We start from the raw sequence: 19702 nt of genomic DNA, 5'->3' as shown, positions 1-19702 counted from the left end.
CAGAAGCTAGAAGTGGGGGTGGGGAGGAAGGAATGAGGAGGTGTTTATCAAATTGTACGAAGTTTCAGTTACACAAAATAATAGGCTTATAAAATCTACTGCACAGAAGGATGACTATAGTTAATAAAAACATGTTGCCTATTTAAAAATAGCTAAGAAAGTAAATTTGCAATGTCACACCACAAAAAATAAGTGAAGTGATGGATATGTGAATTAGATGGATTTAATCATTCCACTTTGTATACATATAACAAAACATCACATTACACCCCGTAAGTGTACACAATTATGATTTGTTGAAAATAATAATAAAAATAAATCAATGAATTTTATATTAAAGAAAATTAACTGTGGCTTAGATTTGTCATGTTGTTTTCATTGTTATTTTAAATAACAATGACTTTCTGGAAGCCTACATAGGGCCCATATCTAACTCATTCCAAATTTTTGCTTGGAAAATACATGGAAAACAGTTTACACAAGTCTGTCTCTCTGAATTAACTTTCTCAGGGTAAAAATAAGCTAATCAGAAAGAAAAAAACTCCATAGGATTAGAAGAGTAATATTTAGTCCATTCGTTAGTTACAAATATTCCATTAGTTAGAAACATTTCCCAATACTCTCATCCAATGTGACACCTGAATAAACGTCAAGGCTGAGTATGTTAGGAGCTTTCATCTTCCTGGGGAGAAGGATATTACCATGTTAGATGATAAGAAATCTGCAGCTCATAGAGATCTAGCAATTTCCCCAAAATCATATTGTTATATGACAAGTTGGCCAAAAGTATTGTCAAAGTTGTTGGTCTAAAGAGCAATGCTTTACTGCCACCTTATGGGCAAATAGGGTTTGCTACAAGTCCTACAAGAGTTCATTATAGTTCAACTTGGGCTTCGAGAGTGTCTTTCACAGATGAAATAAAGTGTCTTGTATGTCATACTAAGATGTTTGTTTCTATTATAATTAACCAAGGATAGTGATTTTTAACAGATAATATTTAAATGGAAAATTATGGTCAGAAGAATAGAATGGAACCTGAGATAACAGTTAAGATGAATAGTAAAATAACATTAAAACAAGATGACTTGAATTAAATAAATGTTCATGAGTTTGATCAATATGTAAGCTGATATAAGGAATATATATTTATAGTATATTAAAATTGAGTTTGAGTGAAAAAGGGCTTAGAGAGAGTGATAGCATTAATTTTCATTACATCAAAACATGTGTAAAGCAAATTTAGAAAAGCATAGGATCCATATTAGATAGATTGACTTTCAAGATTCCACAAGAGCCAGTGAAATTAAGATGTCCAGTGTCTGCTTCACAAAGAAGATATTTATGAGGCCAACAAACATGAAAAATGCTCATAAGCACTGATCATTAGAGAAATGCAATTCTAAACCACAAGGAAACACCATCTCATGCCAGTCAGAATGGTGATTATTAAAAAGTCAAGAAACAATAGATGCTGGTGAAGCAGTGGAGAAATAGAAACTCTTACAATGTTGGTGGGAATGTAAATTAGTTCAACCATTGTGAAAGATGGTATGGTGATTCCTCAAGGATCTAGAACCAGAAATACCCTTTGACCCAGCAATCCCATTACTGGGTATACACCCAAAGGACTATAAATCATTCTACTATAAAGACACATGCACATGTATGTTTACTGCAGCACTATTTACAATAGCAAAGTCATGGAACGAACCCAAATGCCCATCAGTGATAGACTGGATAAAGAAAATGTGGTACATATACCATGGAATACTATGCAGCCATAAAAATGAATTCGATCATGCCATTTGAAGGGAAGTGGATGAAGCTGGAAGCCATCATCTTCAGCAAACTAACACAGAAACAGAAAGTCAAGCACCGTATGTTCTCACTCATAAGTGGGAGTTGAACAATGAGAACATATGGACATGGGGAGAGGAACAACACACACTGGGGTGGTTGTGGGATGAGAGGCAAGGGGAGGGAGAGCATTAGGACAAACACCTAATGCATGCAGGTCTTAAAATCTAGATGATGGGTTGATAGGTGCAGCAAACCACCATGACACATGTATGCCTATGTAACAAACCTGCACATTCTGCATGTGTATCCCAGAACTTAAAGTAAAACAAATAAAATAAAATAAAAATAAAATAGTCAAATTCATGGAAGCAGAGAATAAAATAATAGTTTCCAGGGACTGGGGGGAGGGAGAAATGGGGAGTTGTTGTTCATGGTTTTAAAATTTTGATTATGTAAGAATAAGTTCTGAAGATCTACTATACAACATAGTGCCCATAGTTAACAATACGGTGTTGTGCACTTCAAAATTTATTGAGGGTAGATCTCATTAATTTTTCTTACAACAACAACAACAACAGCAGCATTAACAAAAACAAAGAGTCACAGGAAAATTTTTAGAGGTGACAGATATGTCTACTGCCTTGATTGTGACGATGGTTTCAAGGTTGTATGCGCATGTCCAAAGTCATTAAATGGAATATATATGTGTATATATATATGTGTGTGTGTGTGTGTGTGTATATATATATATATATGTGTATATATAAAGATGTCCAGTGTCTGATGCTAAGAATATGGGCACAGTCTCATGATGTGGGTAAGTGAGTTATACGTATATAGGCAACAGAGTAATACAGATGTGAGTGGGTTTGTCATGCAGAGGAAGCAGGGTGGGTGGAAGATGGCAATAGCTAAAACCTGGGGCTAATCAATTACCAAAGCATAAAATATACAGGGAATCAGAGGGAGGAATTTGAAATCACCTGCCAAAGGCAGAGGGAGAGAGAGAGAGAAAGAATGAGAACACAGGCAGTGACTATCAGAGCTGGGACCGCAAAAGGGGGAAGTTCCTTTCATGTTAGCAGTCATAAGAGACCTGTGAAAATTATCCTTAGGGGTTGCACTGGAAGGAGGCCATCTTGCATTTAGATGCATGCTGATCTCCTTTACATCTTTGGGAATGCCTACTATCAAATGACAGAAAAAAAATTATTTTTACTGATCTTTTTACTGTTACCCATTGACAGTTTAAGTCAGTGCTTTCTTATCTACTAAAAAGATTTGTAGTATTATAGAGCACAAATCTTGTCCATTGGAATTCTTACAAAAAGTAGAATAATGACAACGTATTCTAGTGTAGACTTTAGGAGGTATCATAGGAAAAAGAAGTATAAAACGTAAGTACAATGGCACGATAAAAGATAAAGTCAACTTCTACTTTCAAACAATAGGATGCAAGGAAAACCAGATAAGATATATTCTCCTACCTGAAACAACAAAAATAGTCAGACAAATATGTAAACATGACACTAGGACACGAGGCACTGAAGGACAGATTCCTGATAGATGGAAAATAAATAAATTAAAGTCTGTAGTTGACCTTGGTTTTTGCATTGTAAGAGATTCTAGGAATAGGAAAGAGGAATCTCAATGAAGCAATTACGAGTTGAGGATACAGAGCTGAAAGGAAATAGAGACTAAACTGGCTGGTGTCTGCAGGACTACTGCACAGGAGAGCTGGATAAAGGGATCAGAAGATTAACAATTGGTGCTCGTGTGTGAAGAAACTACCCAAAGCAAAGAAAGAGTCATTAGAGAGGATTAGAGATAACAGAGCTCAGATCTCATGCAAGGCTATTAATAGTGCCTATTTAAGATTTTTAAGAATTCACTTGATGACATTAATGGCAAATTAATTATTGCAGAAGAAAAGATTTGTCAACAAAGATACAGCAATAATGTTAAAAAACAATCCTCCCAGGATCCCTGAAGTTCTTGATGTTCTTGCATAGCCCAGGACTTGGAGCAATGGAAATTGGCATGCTATAAAGCTAGAGAATATCTAGTTTTTCCCAGAGATATTAATTCTAAAGATGATACATGAAAAGTGATTGTTTTCTTCTCACTGGAGCCATGTATTCACCATGTGATCAGCACAGGAGGTAAGATCAAAGATGTAACAGAACATGTACACACTCTGACCACAGCCTTGCAAGGTAGTAAGAGGCAGAATAGATGCTCTTTCCCAAGCCAGTAGGAAGCAAAGTTCTGAAAGGAAGAGAGCATATTAGTGCATATTATTAGTCTGCTGTACATATAGAAGTAAAAAATACATATGAAGTATAAGAGAGAAAAAGGTGTCCCTATACGTTTTAGGGGTTAAAATTTGTCCAGAGAATTTAAGAAAAAGGCTAATGACCAATGGGACATTAATGGATACCAACAATGTAGGTGTTCTTCTAGGCAAAATAGATCTGCTGAGAATGTGGGGCCCTGCTGATCAAAGCTGCACATGTGTAAATACCTCTGTCTCGAGGCTGAATCCAAAAGGGAGGATGTTTAATGATAAGTTTGCAGAAGTTAGGCAACAGGAATCCTACAAGCAGAGTACAATGTCCTATAGTTCCATTACTTTTTTTTTTAATGCCAAAGGAATATGGAAGAAATTTCTGTCATGTTCTTCGGAAGACAATCTGGAGGCTTGACATAGATTAATTCAGTGTTATTAGCATTAGAGAGCTGGTTAATCCCAATAGTTGCCTTTGACCCATGACTGAAATTCTGAATTTCTTCTGCTTCTGAGATTTTTAGACACAGATCTGAGACCCAAGTCAAATCAGACTTTCATAAAAGTGTATTTATTAGGGAGACTATGGAAGGCAATCAGTCAGTGAGGGGAGAGGTCCATGGAAGGAACTTTGAACAATCTGCTACAAGCTCAGTAGTGATAGCTCTTTGTCATGAAGAACAAATGCAAGGAGATGTAAAAAGCGCAAGAGGGAGATTGGAGACATGGAGGAAAAAAAAAAGAAGATATCTTCCACATTCAAGTCCACTCAGCTAACATTTTCCATCATGGTAAAACCTGATTCTTCCATGAGATTTCCTAAAGGAAGAATCAGAATAAACATTTCATTTAGTAATACAATGTCAGAACTAAACAAATACTTTTAAAATTATCTATCTAAAACCTGGTTTTATATTTGGAAAAACTAAGATCCAGAGTGTAAAGGGAATTGACTAATGACAAAAGACAAAATTATTGGATTTCTTACCTAGTTATCATTCCTTGATTCTAAGATGCCACTGGAGATATTATGAGACATGCTACAGTCTTTTTGAAATTAAGCTGTGTAATCAGGTCCGAGTTTGTGATGTGTGAGGCATGTCAATCCTCAACTATTCTGTTAATACTCTCACACTTTGGCTGAATTACTTATTAGTGGGGATGACCTGAGCTTTGCACATTCCTGTCATTGCTCCTTGCACAAAATTTACAAAATGATTGGGCTAAGAGCTCCAATCTGATGCCATGGGGAAAATTTTTCTCTCTGTGAAATGCACTCACTCATATAGGAATCAAAGCTGAAAGCATTGCGTTATAAGATTTCAGTATCTAATCACTGATTTATGTCACATAAATCCAAAAATCTAAACACTGTCTCAGCTAGAAGATCCAAACTTTGCAATTACATCATCATTGTAGTTCAGAGTTTCAAACACATAAGGGGGTGAAGATATTTAAGAGAAAGCAAAACTACAATTTTTCTTAAAATAAAAAATAATTCAGGGCCTGAAGGGATATTTGAGAGCTTCTCGAGTGGAAGTCAATCAATTGGCATATGGGAATGTAAGGGCTCAGATACCAGAACGGACCTGAGGAATGTCATTCGGTACAATGAGTCTACTTTCTAGTCCAGTGGACTTTCAATTACTATGTGCTTTTCTGAGTGGGTGCTGATTATTATCTGTGTGAACTGGAGCAAATTCCTGGCTTCAAGGTTGATGTACTTGATAGGAAGGGTAGATGGTAATTGCTGTGGATAACCATACTTACAGTTCCCCTCTTTTCCCCAAATAGTACTCACAAGCTCTCAACACACAGAATGCAGGGATTATCATAGGTTATAAAATTGGTGCCGCAGATGGGTTGATATAAGCCAGGGCAGGGGTTGACCGTTCCATTGTACCAGCTCAAGTTTACTTTCTCATATGGACATTTCACCTGAAATTGAGTTGAAAAGATTTATCCAGTTAGAATCCCACTTAGACAGGTAGGTCACCTTTGAACTTTATTAGGAAAAATCTAAGCATAGTCTAGGCGTGGTGGCTCATGCCTGTCATTCCAACATTTTGGGAGGCTGAGGTGGGAGGATTGCTTGAGCCCAGGAGTTCAAGATCAGCCTAGGCAACAGAGCGATACCCTGTCTCTCCAGTTTTTTTTTTTTTAATTAGCCTGGCATGGTGGTGCACGCCTGCAGTCCCAGCTTCTCAGAAGGATGGGGCAGGAGGATCACTTGACTGCAGTGAGCAATGATGGTGCCATTCCACTCCAGCCTAGGCAACACAGTAAGACCCCACCTAAAAAAAAAAAAAAAAAAAATCTAAGCATAGTCAAGACAATATTCCACTCTCACAAAAGCTCTCTTTCCCATCTCCACAAAGCCATGGAACTAGAACCTATATATATCCCATTTGGTGACAATATGATGCCCTGGTTGTCAGGACCTTCTCAATAAAGGAGAACAATGGCCAACTATGCTATGGTTAAAAAAAAGAATAAGAAGAGTAGATAAATAGATTATTTATCTGGGGCTTCTCTCTCAGTCTTCTTTATGCCCCAATTATTAGATCTGGAAAGATTCTTAGAGACTTTCTATGACAGCTCAGCAAAGAAAACTGAAGATCAATAATGGAAGAATCCACATGCCTTGATTTCAAATATTTATCACTTTTTTTTCACTCTCTAAATCCTCAAGCCATTTCCTATTTCAAAGTTGTAAAGTGCAAGATCACTAAGACTAATGCCCTGACACTGTAGAAAAAAATCGAAAACAAAGGAAGGGACATGTCTCCTCAGGGACCCGGACTCAGGGATGTTTGTTTTCAGGGGGAAGTTCTCCTCTGGACAATGCTGGTGCTGGTGATGAATTGAAGTAGTGACTCTGGGATTATGAAGCTTGAGGCTAGTGTTCTCAGGGACTCCATAAGTGTCATGAGATTGGTACAGATAAAATACCTCACGCACAAAGTAGGAGAAAGTTTTGGCTAGGAATTTGGAAAGAAGGGGGTCATGTTTTAACTTAGAAATTCCTCTTCCCTCTTTTTTTATTCAACACCACCATCATGGCCAGGCCACCATCGTTACCCAACTAATCCCTCCATTTCCTTTATTCCTTATTTCCTGAAGTTTCATATTTTAAACTTCTATTGAATCATTTTATTTCCTTGATTAAGGTCCTTTCGTCGAACCTCATTGCACATTATAAAAAAGTATTTCTTAATATGGGCTAAAAGTCCCTATGTGACCTGGAACCTCCCAAATCTTCCGCCCTTACCTGATACTACCTTGCTTTCTGCCCTTTTAGTAAGTTCGTTAGTTTGCTTTTCTTTTTTATAAATTCTTTATCTTTCCCTCACCTCAAGGTCTTCTGACGTGTCATAACCACCCCACCAAATATATTTTTTCTCAACCTAAACTCATTCTAACTTTAGAGCTCAGGTTATAACCCACTTTCTGAGAACTATTTATTAAAATACGGTCACAACTCTCTGTTATTTATTTTTATACTTTTAATCAGTTTGTAACAACGCATTTGTTTAATTATTTAACTAATCCCACACCCCCAAAGGAGTATAAGCCCAGAAGGGAAAGATTTGTGTCTGATTAGGCTAGTCATTATGTGCCCAGCACATATATTGGCATTAGTCATTGCTATATAAACATTTGCCAAATGAATAAATGAGATATAAAATAGTTGAATCTGAAAGAATATACAGTTATCAAAGACAAGAGTAAGAACAGTTTATATTGTTGTCTATAAATATAGCTTCTTTTCTCTCTCTCTCTCTTTGGAGGAAGTTATGCATTCTTCAGGTGAGAATCCCACCTGCTGCTCTCACTGTAGCATCCGCCACTTTTCTTCCCTGTCTGTGCTCCAGTCACACAGGGCTTCAATTAGTGACCCAGGTAGGTAAGGTCTTTCTCCCCCCTCTTCACCTGGGTGGCTACTTTTTATCCTTCAAGTCTCACCTTAGATATCCCCATGACAGACAAACCTTGCCTGAACCCATTGTTTATAGTAGTTATCTCTACACTCAACAGATATTCTCTATCATACCATTTTATTTCTTGTATTTATAAAATTTACCATAAATCATAGTTGGTTTCTTCCTTTTTTGGTTATCTGCAAGGTTCATGAGGAAAAGGAATATAACTGCTTTCCTCAATAGTGTATCTTAGGGCACAGCATAGGTGATTAATAAATATTTTTTAAAGAAAATAAGTAAAAGTGAGCGCATTTATTATTGTTTATGGATTTATGGGCATGAGGCAGACTTATCCTGCAGGTAAATTTCTGCAGAAGAAAATTCCAGAACTCAGCTTTATGAGACCAGGGTATAAATCCTGGACAAATTCTGCAGATATTTTCTGGGGCAGTAGCCTCTGACAAGCTTCACATTCTGGTCCCCGGGTCTCTTGAAGGTAGAGCTGCCCTCAAAATATCTTTCTCAGCAGTCAACTCATGACAGACTTTTTTACAAAGAAGAAATAAAATTTAAAATTTATGAATTAGACAAAAGCTTAAGGTGCTAATACTTCTAAAGGGAAGGAATACAGTGATGCAAATGTGAATCAAAATGAAAAGTTTAATCCCTCATTCATCTTTTCCCTCACTTATCAAATATCGATTGACCTCACATTATATGCAGTGCTCATTAAGGTAGACGAAAATGAAAAAGATGTCTCCATTTTGCCCTCATCCAAGTTGCAAACATAGTTTGAGGCTCTGTTCAGGTATCTACTGTTCTTCACATTTTCTTCCATCCATATCCAGAAGTTGCCTTCTGCATTCACAACTTACATAGGCATTCTCTGTACATCTCAAGACATTTAGGAGCATTCTTTTAAGTCATTGTTTCCATCAGACTGTGAGCTCCTTGAGAGCCAGGACCATGTTATGCCCAAGTCCATAGGCTCTTAAGAACCTGTCATGCTCCTGGCAATTGTCAATACTCTTCAATATTTCTCAGGCACTAAAGAGGGTTCTCTGGTGTATGTATGAGTGAATGTTGTCTGGGTTCCAAGTTTGGATCTCTACTCTGGGGTACTGTTTCAGCAGTGTATCCACCACCCTCGTACAAATAGGCCTTGAAGACTATTACGGGTGACCTTGAGGCATTAAGTTTCCACAGTAACAATTCCAAAAAAAAAGAACTCATATTATAATGTAAGTCCTGGGGGGAAATTTAATGGAACATTACCTTAATAATTCCACGTGGTGGCCACCAGTGTCTAGGGCCTGAAACTAGAGAATACATGAAAATAGTTACAGAATTTAATTCCTGTTAAATCATAGCTTAATCTGTTGGCAGAATAAACGAGTTCTAATTTATTATCAAGGAAGTTTTCAGCAATGGAAAACATTATTTCATTTATACATGTATTCATTCATTTTTTTAAATGTGAAATAAATCTTTTACTCCTAATTGATATCAGCAGGGGACTATATAGATGCATCACTGTTTCATAAAGGCTGGCAGTCCAGTGTACTAAATAATTTTCCTAATTAGCTTGGACTTGAGAGGACTTAGAGCTGGTAATCTATGTATGAAAGAAATAAGCAATGCTGTAACTTTAAAGTGATCTTTTGGCCCAATCATCATATTTTTTTAGGCATGAAAGACACCTGGGTAATACTCAGGAATTCTTGGTAGATATGTGAAAAAGCAAGCTCTGCAGCCCTTGAGGCTAGGCCTCTTTATGACTCCCTACATGATTTCTTCTCTAGAAGAGGGCACAAAAGATAATGGTCCAGTCAAATACACAGCAAATCAAACACTCTAAATTTTCCAGATGTGATCTCATGTATGCATATTATATTGCTAGTCACTTTTACATGTTACCTCAGTGAGTCACCCAAGCCTCCTTGCCCTCATGAGTTAAATCTCATAATCGGCATGCAAAAGATGGCAAAACAAAGGTCTCTGCCCATTGAATCAGTCTTTTAGACTCTCTCTCTCTATATATATATATATGTATGTGTGTGTGTGTGTGTGTGTGTATATATATATATATACTCTGAGTATGTGTATACATATATATACTCTGAGTATACTCAGAGTATATATATACATGTGTGTGTATATATATGTATATGTATATGTGTGTATATACAAATATAGAGACAGAGAGAGTCTAAAATACTGATTCAATGGGCAGAGACCTTCATTTTGTCATATACTCTGAGTATATATATAAATATATATATACATATATACACTCTGCAACACGTCAATGGATAATTTATATATATATACACATATATATATATTCATCCCAGTTAAAGAACAATTTCAAAGCATTCTCTCTCAGATTATGATGTAAAAGCCCACAAATCAATTTCAACTGCTGGCCAAGACCAGCTAAATTACTCACCAGAAGATAACACCAAATGTATCAAGATAAAGGACAAAAGTGAGAATACTGGGAAAGATTTGGCCATTTTTCCTCCTGGTGTGTCCTTGGAATGATGCTCTGAAATATTGTCTCAGGTTGTTGCCCTCTAATACAATCACTAAAGTAGAGACAATCAGGATTTAAGATGACTTTTACAATGAAGAGCCATCTCTACTCCACCCATTGTATCCTCAGTACTATGTATTTGGAAAGCCTATTCCATTCTTCTTCAGAAACAAATGTTTAAAAAGTTAAACCTTGAATAACTATCTTGATTAAAAGTATAGAGCTCAGTAACAGATCTTTGAATACTCAGAAGTAAATCATAGGTTACTCTGTGGGCATAAGTGTATTATTTTAGTGGGAAAACATTTTACATGTCATGAAAAAGCAACTCCTTACCTGAAGCTTCACCTAAATTTATCTTTTGAGGGGATGCAAAAAAAAAGATGGGGCTATTGAGGTCCCTAGACAACATGAACTTCTCAATAAGTGGAGTGGATCTGTACTTGCTCGTCAAGCAAAGAATACCTCTTTGGATTAAGACAAAGATTTCTGATGATTCAGGCATGCTTGTCTATACCAAGGATCTTCTGATGTTGAATCCCAGACTCTTTGAGGACATTCACAGGGAGAAAAATCATTATCTGCCATCTCACTGGGGTCCCACAGCTATTTTAATCCAGACACAGAAAGGGAAAAGTCAGAGAGCAAATCCTCCCTCGGGATGGACTTTCCTTGTAGCAACATTTCTGACCCCAGAGAATGGAAACTGCAGTTTCCAGGGCCTGACCAAGGACCACATTTAACTGTTCCTCCATTCCTAATTCTAGAAAAGTAGCCTGGTCTTCCATATGTTCTCTAGGCTTTTATCTCTGTCTGCAACACATGTCAATGGATAATTTATATAAACTCTGCTGATGTGCTCTGATGTGGCAGGTGTTACTTAAGACATTAAAATGTAGCCAGAGTATTCTACTCTCAGGATGATTGCAAGTTCTTTGTACACTATGAAAGGTTGCCTACCATGCCTACTCCTGGCACAATCTGGGACACCATGTTTTGCTAAACACACCCCCATCTCATCCTGATATTTTCCCTGGCTTCCTCCAGAAATGGAACAGGAACAGTACAAGTTCAGCTGCAGCCAGAAAACTAGAGCAAAACACAGAGGCCCACTCTCTCCATCCCTCATGTCACAGCTGACCCACCTCAGAAAGAAGAGAAAAGGAAGAGGAATATAATGTGCTCCTTCTAAGAAGCATGTATTAGGGCCCCAGGAGGAAATAGAGTAACTGCTGCGTAGGACAGAAAAGTCACTGAGGCATTGTGTGCTGGACTGAGCAGGCCCTGGAGATCCATCATTCAGATTGCATCAAACCTCAGCAGGGGAAGACCTGAGGAGGGTAAGAAGAGATCACTGGAAAGGGCAGCCATTAGCAGGCAATTCAAGAGAGGCAATAGCATGAGAAAACATCCCACAGTAGGAAAGAGCAAGCAGAAAGAATATAACATGTTCCACAACAATAATTAGTATCAAGACCAGGACCAGTATTAGGACCAGAATGAAAACATGTGTGGAAACATCTAATAAAGAAAAGGCTGGTACAGGAGGTTGCAGTGACAGATGAGATCCTTGGATACCATTTGCAGTAGATCCAGCCTTGTGCCTGTAGTAACCCAGAGCCTTTGCCATTTTAACAGGGAAGATATATTATTATAGCTTAAGGTCCTCCTATTATCTGAACTTCTGGCCTCTACCATTCCTTCTGTAAAAAGCTATTTTTCTTATACAAAGAAAATATATGCTCACTTAGAAAATTTATAAAATAGAAATATACAAAAAAGAGAGGGAGGCGGAGCAAGTAGAAACATACAAATAGAAATGGCCAAATAGAAATATGAAAAAAAAGAAACATACAAAATGAAATAAAATATATAAAACAAAAAATATACAAATGAAATAAAAAGGTGTGAAATCTTACAACTCAGAGGTACCTATTAAATATATATAAAATTATATTCTTCCAGTTTAAATATATATACATAATCACACAGGTACATATGTTTTATTACAATATTCAACTTTTATAATATATATTGTTTTTTCACTTAGAAATGCACTATTACATTTTCTTGATCTCTAAATATATTGAACATGAATTTAGATGCCTGGTGTCATATTCCATCACATATGTGGATTTTAATTATACTAATATTCTTTAATTGTTGCTCAATTAGGGTGATGCCAATTTTTTATTGTTATTAATAGTGCTAGCATAGGCAGATTTTTATTTACCTCAGTTAACTTGTCTTTTAATATTTTATTTTAATAAATGCCTGTAAATAAACCCATTGAAAACTTCCAGAAAGAACTTAGGTCACCTAGAATATGAGAGAGGTGGTGGTTTTCATCACATTTCTGGGCTCCATACTTGTAATTCTGGGCTCCATACTTACAAGAAATATTTTGAAAACAACCTGCTATCTTCCTGAGTAGATCATTTGTTCCCCAGTTTGGAAAGGTAGATGCATCCTGTTGTTTAGAAAGGATTCTGAACGCAGAATCAGAACATCAATTTATAATGTTTTGTCAACTTGGAAAGTAATTTATTCTATCTGGACCACAGAATTTTCCATTTTGCGCTATTGGGTAATCACACATTCCATCAAGTGCTCTTTGGAGGTTTAATTGAACAAACACTTAAACAGCTTTGAAAACTGAGCCAGATAAGCCACCAATAAATGCTATTTTAATTTGGCTTCTTCTCAGCCACTATATGGATGTGAGTGTTGTAAATTCAGAGCCACGGACTCATTTTATGGCATTCAAAAATAATAAGTGTGAAATTACTTCCCATCTGAGAATAAATAATTTACATTTTTTTTAACTTTGTTTTGCTGCAAATTTTATTAGCAGAGCATCACTCATAAGGTGAGTTTCCATAGGTCTTCTACAGTCTGGGATTCTGATTTGTCAGGAATTGTGAGGGGCCCTGAAAGTACAGCTGTGAAAACTATTGGCATCATCCTTACCCTAATGGAGCTTAGACACACTACAGGAAAAGTCATTAAACAAATAATTACTCAAGGAAAGCAGACTTGAGGAGGAAATTTCCAATATTTGTGTTTTCTGAATCTTGTGACATTTAGGTATTAATCATGACCCCTGTGTTTCTCATTTATATTAGCATTGAGGAATCAAACAATAAAATGCCACAAATCCGATATTTTAACTATGTAAAACTGAAGCAAAATATTCTAAGATAAAGAGAATTGCATGTTATGGCCACATGGCTCTATTTAATAGATGCAAAAACAAGATAACAGAGGGAGGTCTATAAACATCGCTTAATCCTGAAGCACACAGAGGAAAACCAAGTGCTACAGGAAATAATTAAGGCTAGAACATCTTTACTTCTTCCAAACTCCCCCAAATTTCAGTTGAACTAATATTGGGAGAAGACAATAAGTAAGATTAAAGGATCATATCTCCCTCAGAGAATCCTTAGTCTATGATTTTGTCATCATCTATTACACCCAGTCTAATTCCAAAAGCTACAGCTTAGGGCTTTCTCACCGAATTCCAGCCTCCCTAGCTGTGAAGTAATTCAATTTATGTGTTCCAATTTCACCTCAAACCCACATCTTCAAAACCCAGTGCCTCCTCCTGTTGTCCAAAGCAGATTCTTATCACCTTTCATGGGTGCAAAATCTTCTAGTGTCACAGGATTGATCTAAGGCTCTACCACTGTCCTCCTGCAGAAAGTCTCAGCTCCACTGCCCAATGGTTAGAAATTTCATAGTCCACCTCATTCTGATGACCAATTATATTTCCACCACAGTACTGATAAGTGGCAACAATGCTTTATCCCTCAGAGAAAAACCACCAGATACCACGCAAATAATTGGTACCATCCAGGCTGTAGGATTAAGCCTTCCCCTTCTCAAGGATTTTAGGGAAGCCCTAGGACAGCATTAACCAGACTTGTACATTCTTTTGCACTGGTCTTGACTATGGGTTTGGATAACCAGTTATTTGGACTGACCAAGATGGTTTTATGGCTTTAACCTTCCCCTTGGCTCAACTGAACTGTAGATAAGCTTCTTAACTCTAAGCCACTGACCTCCTTTTTTTGTGAAGCATTTACTTTATAATGTGTAACTCTAATTTCTTTATATATCCATTTGACTTGTAAATCCTTTTAGAAGCCTCTTGCCAGTTTAACAACCCAACCCAGGACTGTCTTTCTCAGTGGCCTGAGGGACATCCCTTTGAAATGTAATCATTAAGGCAAATAGTGCCCGTATCTACTAGTTTCTGTGGAATAGTACAGAGCTACCTTTGAGGGTGGTAAGCACCTTGCTCCAATTTGCAAAAACACCTCCTATCATAAAGATATGAGCTTTTTTTTAGTTTGGATTAAGCCAATTAGCAAACACAGATGGCCTATGGTTTCTCCCTAATATCCTCCAGTACTTGGCATTAGCTCACCCCAGCCCTTAAAAACCCTCCCATTTCCTTTGTTTCAGTGACTTGGGTTCAGGCTGAGTTCTGGCCTCTCTTCCTGACTGCAATAACCTTAAATAAAATCATTCTTGCCTGTTTAACTTTGTCATGTACAATGTTTGCTTCAGAAGAACCACCTTACATTCCAAATAACAGATCTTCTTATCTTTTCTCTTTGCATAACATGAATAACAAAACAAAAAACCAAAACATTTTTTGTTTTGTTTTATTTTTACTTTCCCTCTAACTCCTTTAGAGGGTGTGTTGGTTCATTTTCACGCTACTGATAAAGATATACTCGAGACTGGGCAATTTACAAAGAAAAGAGGTTTAATGGAGAACTCACAGTTCCACGTAGCTGGAGAAGCCTCACAATCATGGTGGAAGGCAAGGAGGAACAAGTCATATCTTATGTGGATGGTGGCAGGCAGAAAGAGAGAGCTTGTGCAGAGAACTCTCATTGTGCAGAGAAAACCATCAGATCTCATGAGACCCATTCACTATCACGGGAACAACATGGGAAAGACTCGCCCCCATGATTCAATCATCTCCCACTGGGTCCCTCCCACAACACGTGGGAATTATGGGTGCTACAAGATGAGATTTGAGTGGGGACAGAGAGCCAAACCGTATCAGAGGGCCAATATTTAGCCTTGTATAATCCAAGTGTCAGCTCCTCTACCTTGCAGATATGCAATTCTTATAGCATAAAATAAAAATGCTATTTCTTAACCTTACTTCCTGTCCTAAATTATCTGTTTATGTACCCCTTTGTGTCATTCCGAGATCCTCTGTCAACTACCCAGTCACTGCCCTGCTGGTTCCAGCTGGCCAGCTCCCCGGTCCCAACCACCACCATGGGCTGCTACTCCCTGTCCATTGGGATTAACCAAGAGGTGGAGCAGAGAAAGCCACCCTAACCCTTCATTCTCCCTAAAACTCCTGCCCCTGGATGTACAAGGGTACATATTTTCTTTATAAAAAAGGTAAGGACAGGGAAATGCATACATATATACTAAACTTAAAAGTATAAACATAATATAATAGCATCTAATTATATCTCATAAAATAATAATAATATGATAAAATTATTTAAAGAGAATTATCAAGAAGGGGGAAAGTTAAAAAGCTGTAACCTAGAGATAAGTTTCCTCAGAAATGAGAAGGAAAATAAGAAATCCTCAAAGTAGGCCTTGATGGAAAACTCATCTGGGTCTTAACTGATTTGTCTTTCTTCCCATTTATGATCCCTTCCAAAGAGTTACTTGCTTCTCTCCACTTCACTTTGGGACAACAAATTCTGCCCACAGTATCTTATAGGATGTCTAAGGGGCAGAGCTTTGGCCATCTAAAGCTGTGGAAGCAGCTTTGGGACTGGGTAATGGGAAGAGGTTGGAACAATTTTGGAGGGCTCAAAAGAAGACAGGAAGTTGAGGGAGAGTTTGAAACTCCCTAGAGACTTGTTGAATGGCTTTGACCAGGCAGAAGTCTGCTGCAGAGAGCCCATATGAAGAACCCCTACTAGGGCAGTAAAGAGGGGAAATGTGGGATTGGATCACCTACACAGGGTCTCCACTGGATCACTGCCTAGTGGAGCTGTGAGAAAAGGGATACCATCCTCCAGACCCCAGAATTGTAGATCCACCAACAGCTTGCACTGTGATCCTGCAAAAGCTGCAGGCACTCAACACCGGCCTGTGAAAGCAGCCAAGGGTGCTGTACCCTGCAAAGCCACAGGGGTAGAGATCCCCAAGGCCTTATGAGCCCATCCCTTGCATTGGTGTGGCCTGGATATGAGACATGGAGTCAAACAAGATTATTTTGGAGCTTTAAGACTTAATGACTGCACTGATGGGTTTAAGACTTGCATGGGGCCTGTAGCCCCTTTATTTTGGTTGATTTCTCCCTTTTGGAATGGGTATGTTTACCCAATTCCTGTATCCCCATTGTATCTTGAAAGTAACTAACTTGTTATTTATTTCACAGTTTCACAGGTGAAAGGAACTTGCCTTGTCTCAGATAAGACTTTAGACTGTGGACTTTTGAGTTAATGCTGAAATGAGTTAAGAATTGGGGGACTGTTGAGAAGGGATGATTGTATTTTGCAATGTGAGAAGGACATAAAATTTGGGAGGGGCCAGGGGTGAAATGATATGATTTGGATTTGCCCAAGTCTTGTGTTGAATTATAATCCTCAATGTTGGACGAGAGACCTGGTGAGAGGTGATTGGGTCATAGGGGCAGATTTCCTCCCTGCTGTTCTTATGATAGTGAGTGAGTTCTCATGAGATCTGGTTGTTTAAAAGTGTGTGGCACCTTCCACAATCTCTTCCTCCTTTTCCAGCCATGTAAGATGTGCTTGCTTCCCCTGCTTTCTTTTCCCAACTTTTGCCATGATTCTAAGTTTCCTGAAGCCTCCTGAGCCATGCTTCCTGTACAGCCTGCGAAACTGTGAGCCAATTAACTTCTTTTCTTTATGTATTGCTCAGTTTCAGGTAGTTTTTTGTGGCAGTGCAAGAACAGGCTGATACCACAATCAAGAAAGTTCAAAAGCCTCAAACACAAGCAAGGAAACAAAAATGTGCTATCTGTAATCTATACACCTCTTCCTAGGAGAAAACACATTTATTTTTACCCTAGATTTAACCTTCAAGGAAGAAGACAATAATTCACCATCTGCAAACTGTCCACCTCTTCTAAGGAGAAAATAAGTTTATATTCTTTCAACTTTCAGAAGGAGCCCTTTCAGGCCTGCCAGAATAAGAAAGGAGCTAAATATCGCTACAGTGAATATTCTATCAGTTTCATTTTTAATGTTTTTGAAAGACCATTTTAATGAGGACTTAAATTCTGAGATAAAAATCTTTCATTTCCCCAGGTTCTAAACTGAAGAATAAGGGCGATATTCTATTCCCTTATTTTCTTGTTTTATTTCCATCTCCTGCTATTGACAGCACTACTCTCTTAAATCTATTTCTGAATGTCCTTATCTCCTGGCAGTCTCCCTGTCTGTTTCTGTGTCTCTATGTTACTCACCCCTAAGAAGGCTATCCACAAAGGCAGAAATTGTCCTGGACATCACTGTATCCATAGAACCTGGTACAAGATCTGACAACAGTGGTGGCAAATACTAATAACTCAAACTGAATTTCAGCCTTTCTTTTCATTACTTCCTTGGGCACCAGTCTCCTAACATATCTTTTTTTTTTTTTTTTTTTTGAGATGGAGTCTCACTCTGTAACTCAGGCTGTAGTGCAGTGGCACAATCTTGGCTCAATGCAACCTCTGCCTCTTGGGTTCAAGTGATTCTTCTGCCTCAGTCTCCTAAGTAGCTGGGACTACAGGTGTATGCCACCACACCCAACTATTTTTTTTTTTTTATTGTTAGTAGAGACGGGGTTTCGCCATGTTGGCCAGACTCTCATACTCCTGACCTCAGGTGACTCACCTGCCTCGGCCCCCCAAAGTGCTAGAATTAAAGGTGTGAGCCACCGCACCTGGCTACTCTTAACATATCTTAATAAGACTATCGACTGGTTTAGAATTCCAACCTTGCAAAGTAATAGCTGATGCATATACATCCACAAGAGGTGTATGAATCATTGAAGTGTATAAAAGGTTGCAGCACCCTGAGAGAGAATGCTGTTGACCTTCCGCAGTGCTAGAATGAGAATGGCAACACCTACCTCCCCTACTTTTTTTTATTTTCTTTCCATCTAGCTATATACTTCTTCCCAATAAATTATTTAATTACATATATTAAAATCTTCTGTCATATCTGATTTTGGGGTTTTTATTTTTGGTAAGAAAATTTATCTCCATACATTTCAATATGTCTGCATGAGTGCCTGATTGTCCCTAAATGTTAAGAGGTTTTATATATTTATATATAATCTATAATTTATAGATTGAGCTTACTTAACACATTTAAAACATTTATAATTCATAAGTATATAATTATTTACCTTTAAATGGAAAAAGTTAGTATATTTACATAAGCTCTGATTTTCTCTTAACAAATTGCTCCCAGTATTTTTTTTTTAAAGATTTTTCTAAAAACGTAGAAACCATTGTCTTCGTTTACTGGTACAACATCTTTCTTATTATTTTATCAACATATAATTCCCATCTTTATTTTGCTTGTTTTATTATTTTTGACTTAGAAAGTATTTGTTATTAACTTTAAGATCCCTACTTTCCTTTTTTTTTTTTTGAGACGGAGTTTCGCTCTTGTTACCAAGGCTGGAGTGCAATGGTGCGATCTTGGCTCACTGCAACCTCTGCCTCCCGGGTTCAAGCAATTCTCCTGCCTCAGCCTCCTGAGTAGCTACGATTACAGGCATGCACCACTACATCCGGCTAATTTTGTATTTTTAGTAGAGACGGGGTTCCTCCACATTGGTCAGGCTGGTCTGAAACTCCTGACCTCAGGTGATCCGCCAGACTTGGCCTCCTAAAGTGCTGGGATTACAGGCGTGGGCCACTGCACCCAGCCAAGATCCCTACTTTCTTAATGAAGCTCACAAAAGAGTATTCTGCAATTAGGAATTATTTCACTTATACCATACGCTTGCAATAAAATCAAACAGCATGAATATCAAGGCTTATTTGATTAAATAGGAAAAATATAATTACAAGTTATGATTGACATTTTTGTCTAATATCAGCTTCAGGTTTCACTTTACATCTCAATTTTGTTTTGAACAGAATTA

At 37.7% G+C, this 19702-nt stretch overlaps 1 protein-coding gene across 2 annotated transcripts; it reads right to left on the bottom strand.

The window, feature by feature from the left end:
- Positions 1 to 4639: 4639 nt before the first annotated feature.
- On the bottom strand, positions 4640 to 11713 carry SPINK14 (serine peptidase inhibitor Kazal type 14 (putative)). Of its 2 annotated transcripts, NM_001001325.2 has the most exons (5): positions 11692 to 11713; positions 10460 to 10598; positions 9286 to 9329; positions 5889 to 6025; positions 4640 to 4906 (listed from the first exon to the last, which is right to left on the bottom strand). In NM_001001325.2, exons 2-5 carry the CDS (start codon positions 10524 to 10526, stop codon positions 4861 to 4863), a joined length of 294 nt encoding a protein of 97 aa, NP_001001325.1. In that variant the 5' UTR covers positions 10527 to 10598; positions 11692 to 11713; the 3' UTR covers positions 4640 to 4860. The 2 variants fall into 2 exon arrangements, with proteins under 2 accessions (NP_001001325.1, XP_016864958.1); XM_017009469.2 differs by lacking the exon at positions 11692 to 11713 and having other exon boundaries at positions 10460 to 10814.
- Between the last annotated feature and the right edge of the window lie 7989 nt (positions 11714 to 19702).

This window comes from Homo sapiens, chromosome 5, assembly GCF_000001405.40.
Source record: "Homo sapiens chromosome 5, GRCh38.p14 Primary Assembly".
In the NCBI taxonomy this organism is placed as follows: Eukaryota; Metazoa; Chordata; class Mammalia; order Primates; family Hominidae; genus Homo; species Homo sapiens.
Note: the sequence above shows the minus strand (reverse complement) of the source record. Positions and strands in the feature narration are given on the sequence as shown.

What these genes read in the sequence shown, in the direction of transcription:
- SPINK14 (NM_001001325.2), bottom strand. Translation starts at nt 10,526, where the DNA reads ATGGCCAAATCTTTCCCAGTATTCTCACTTTTGTCCTTTATCTTGATA. An exon ending in ACATTTGGTGTTATCTTCTG is followed by an intron (nt 9,330 to 10,459) that starts GTGAGTAATTTA and finishes TGTATTCTCTAG; the next exon opens with TTTCAGGCCCTAGACACTGG. An exon ending in ATTCTGTGTGTTGAGAGCTT is followed by an intron (nt 4,907 to 5,888) that starts GTGAGTACTATT and finishes TTCTTCCTTTAG; the next exon opens with GAAATCTCATGGAAGAATCA.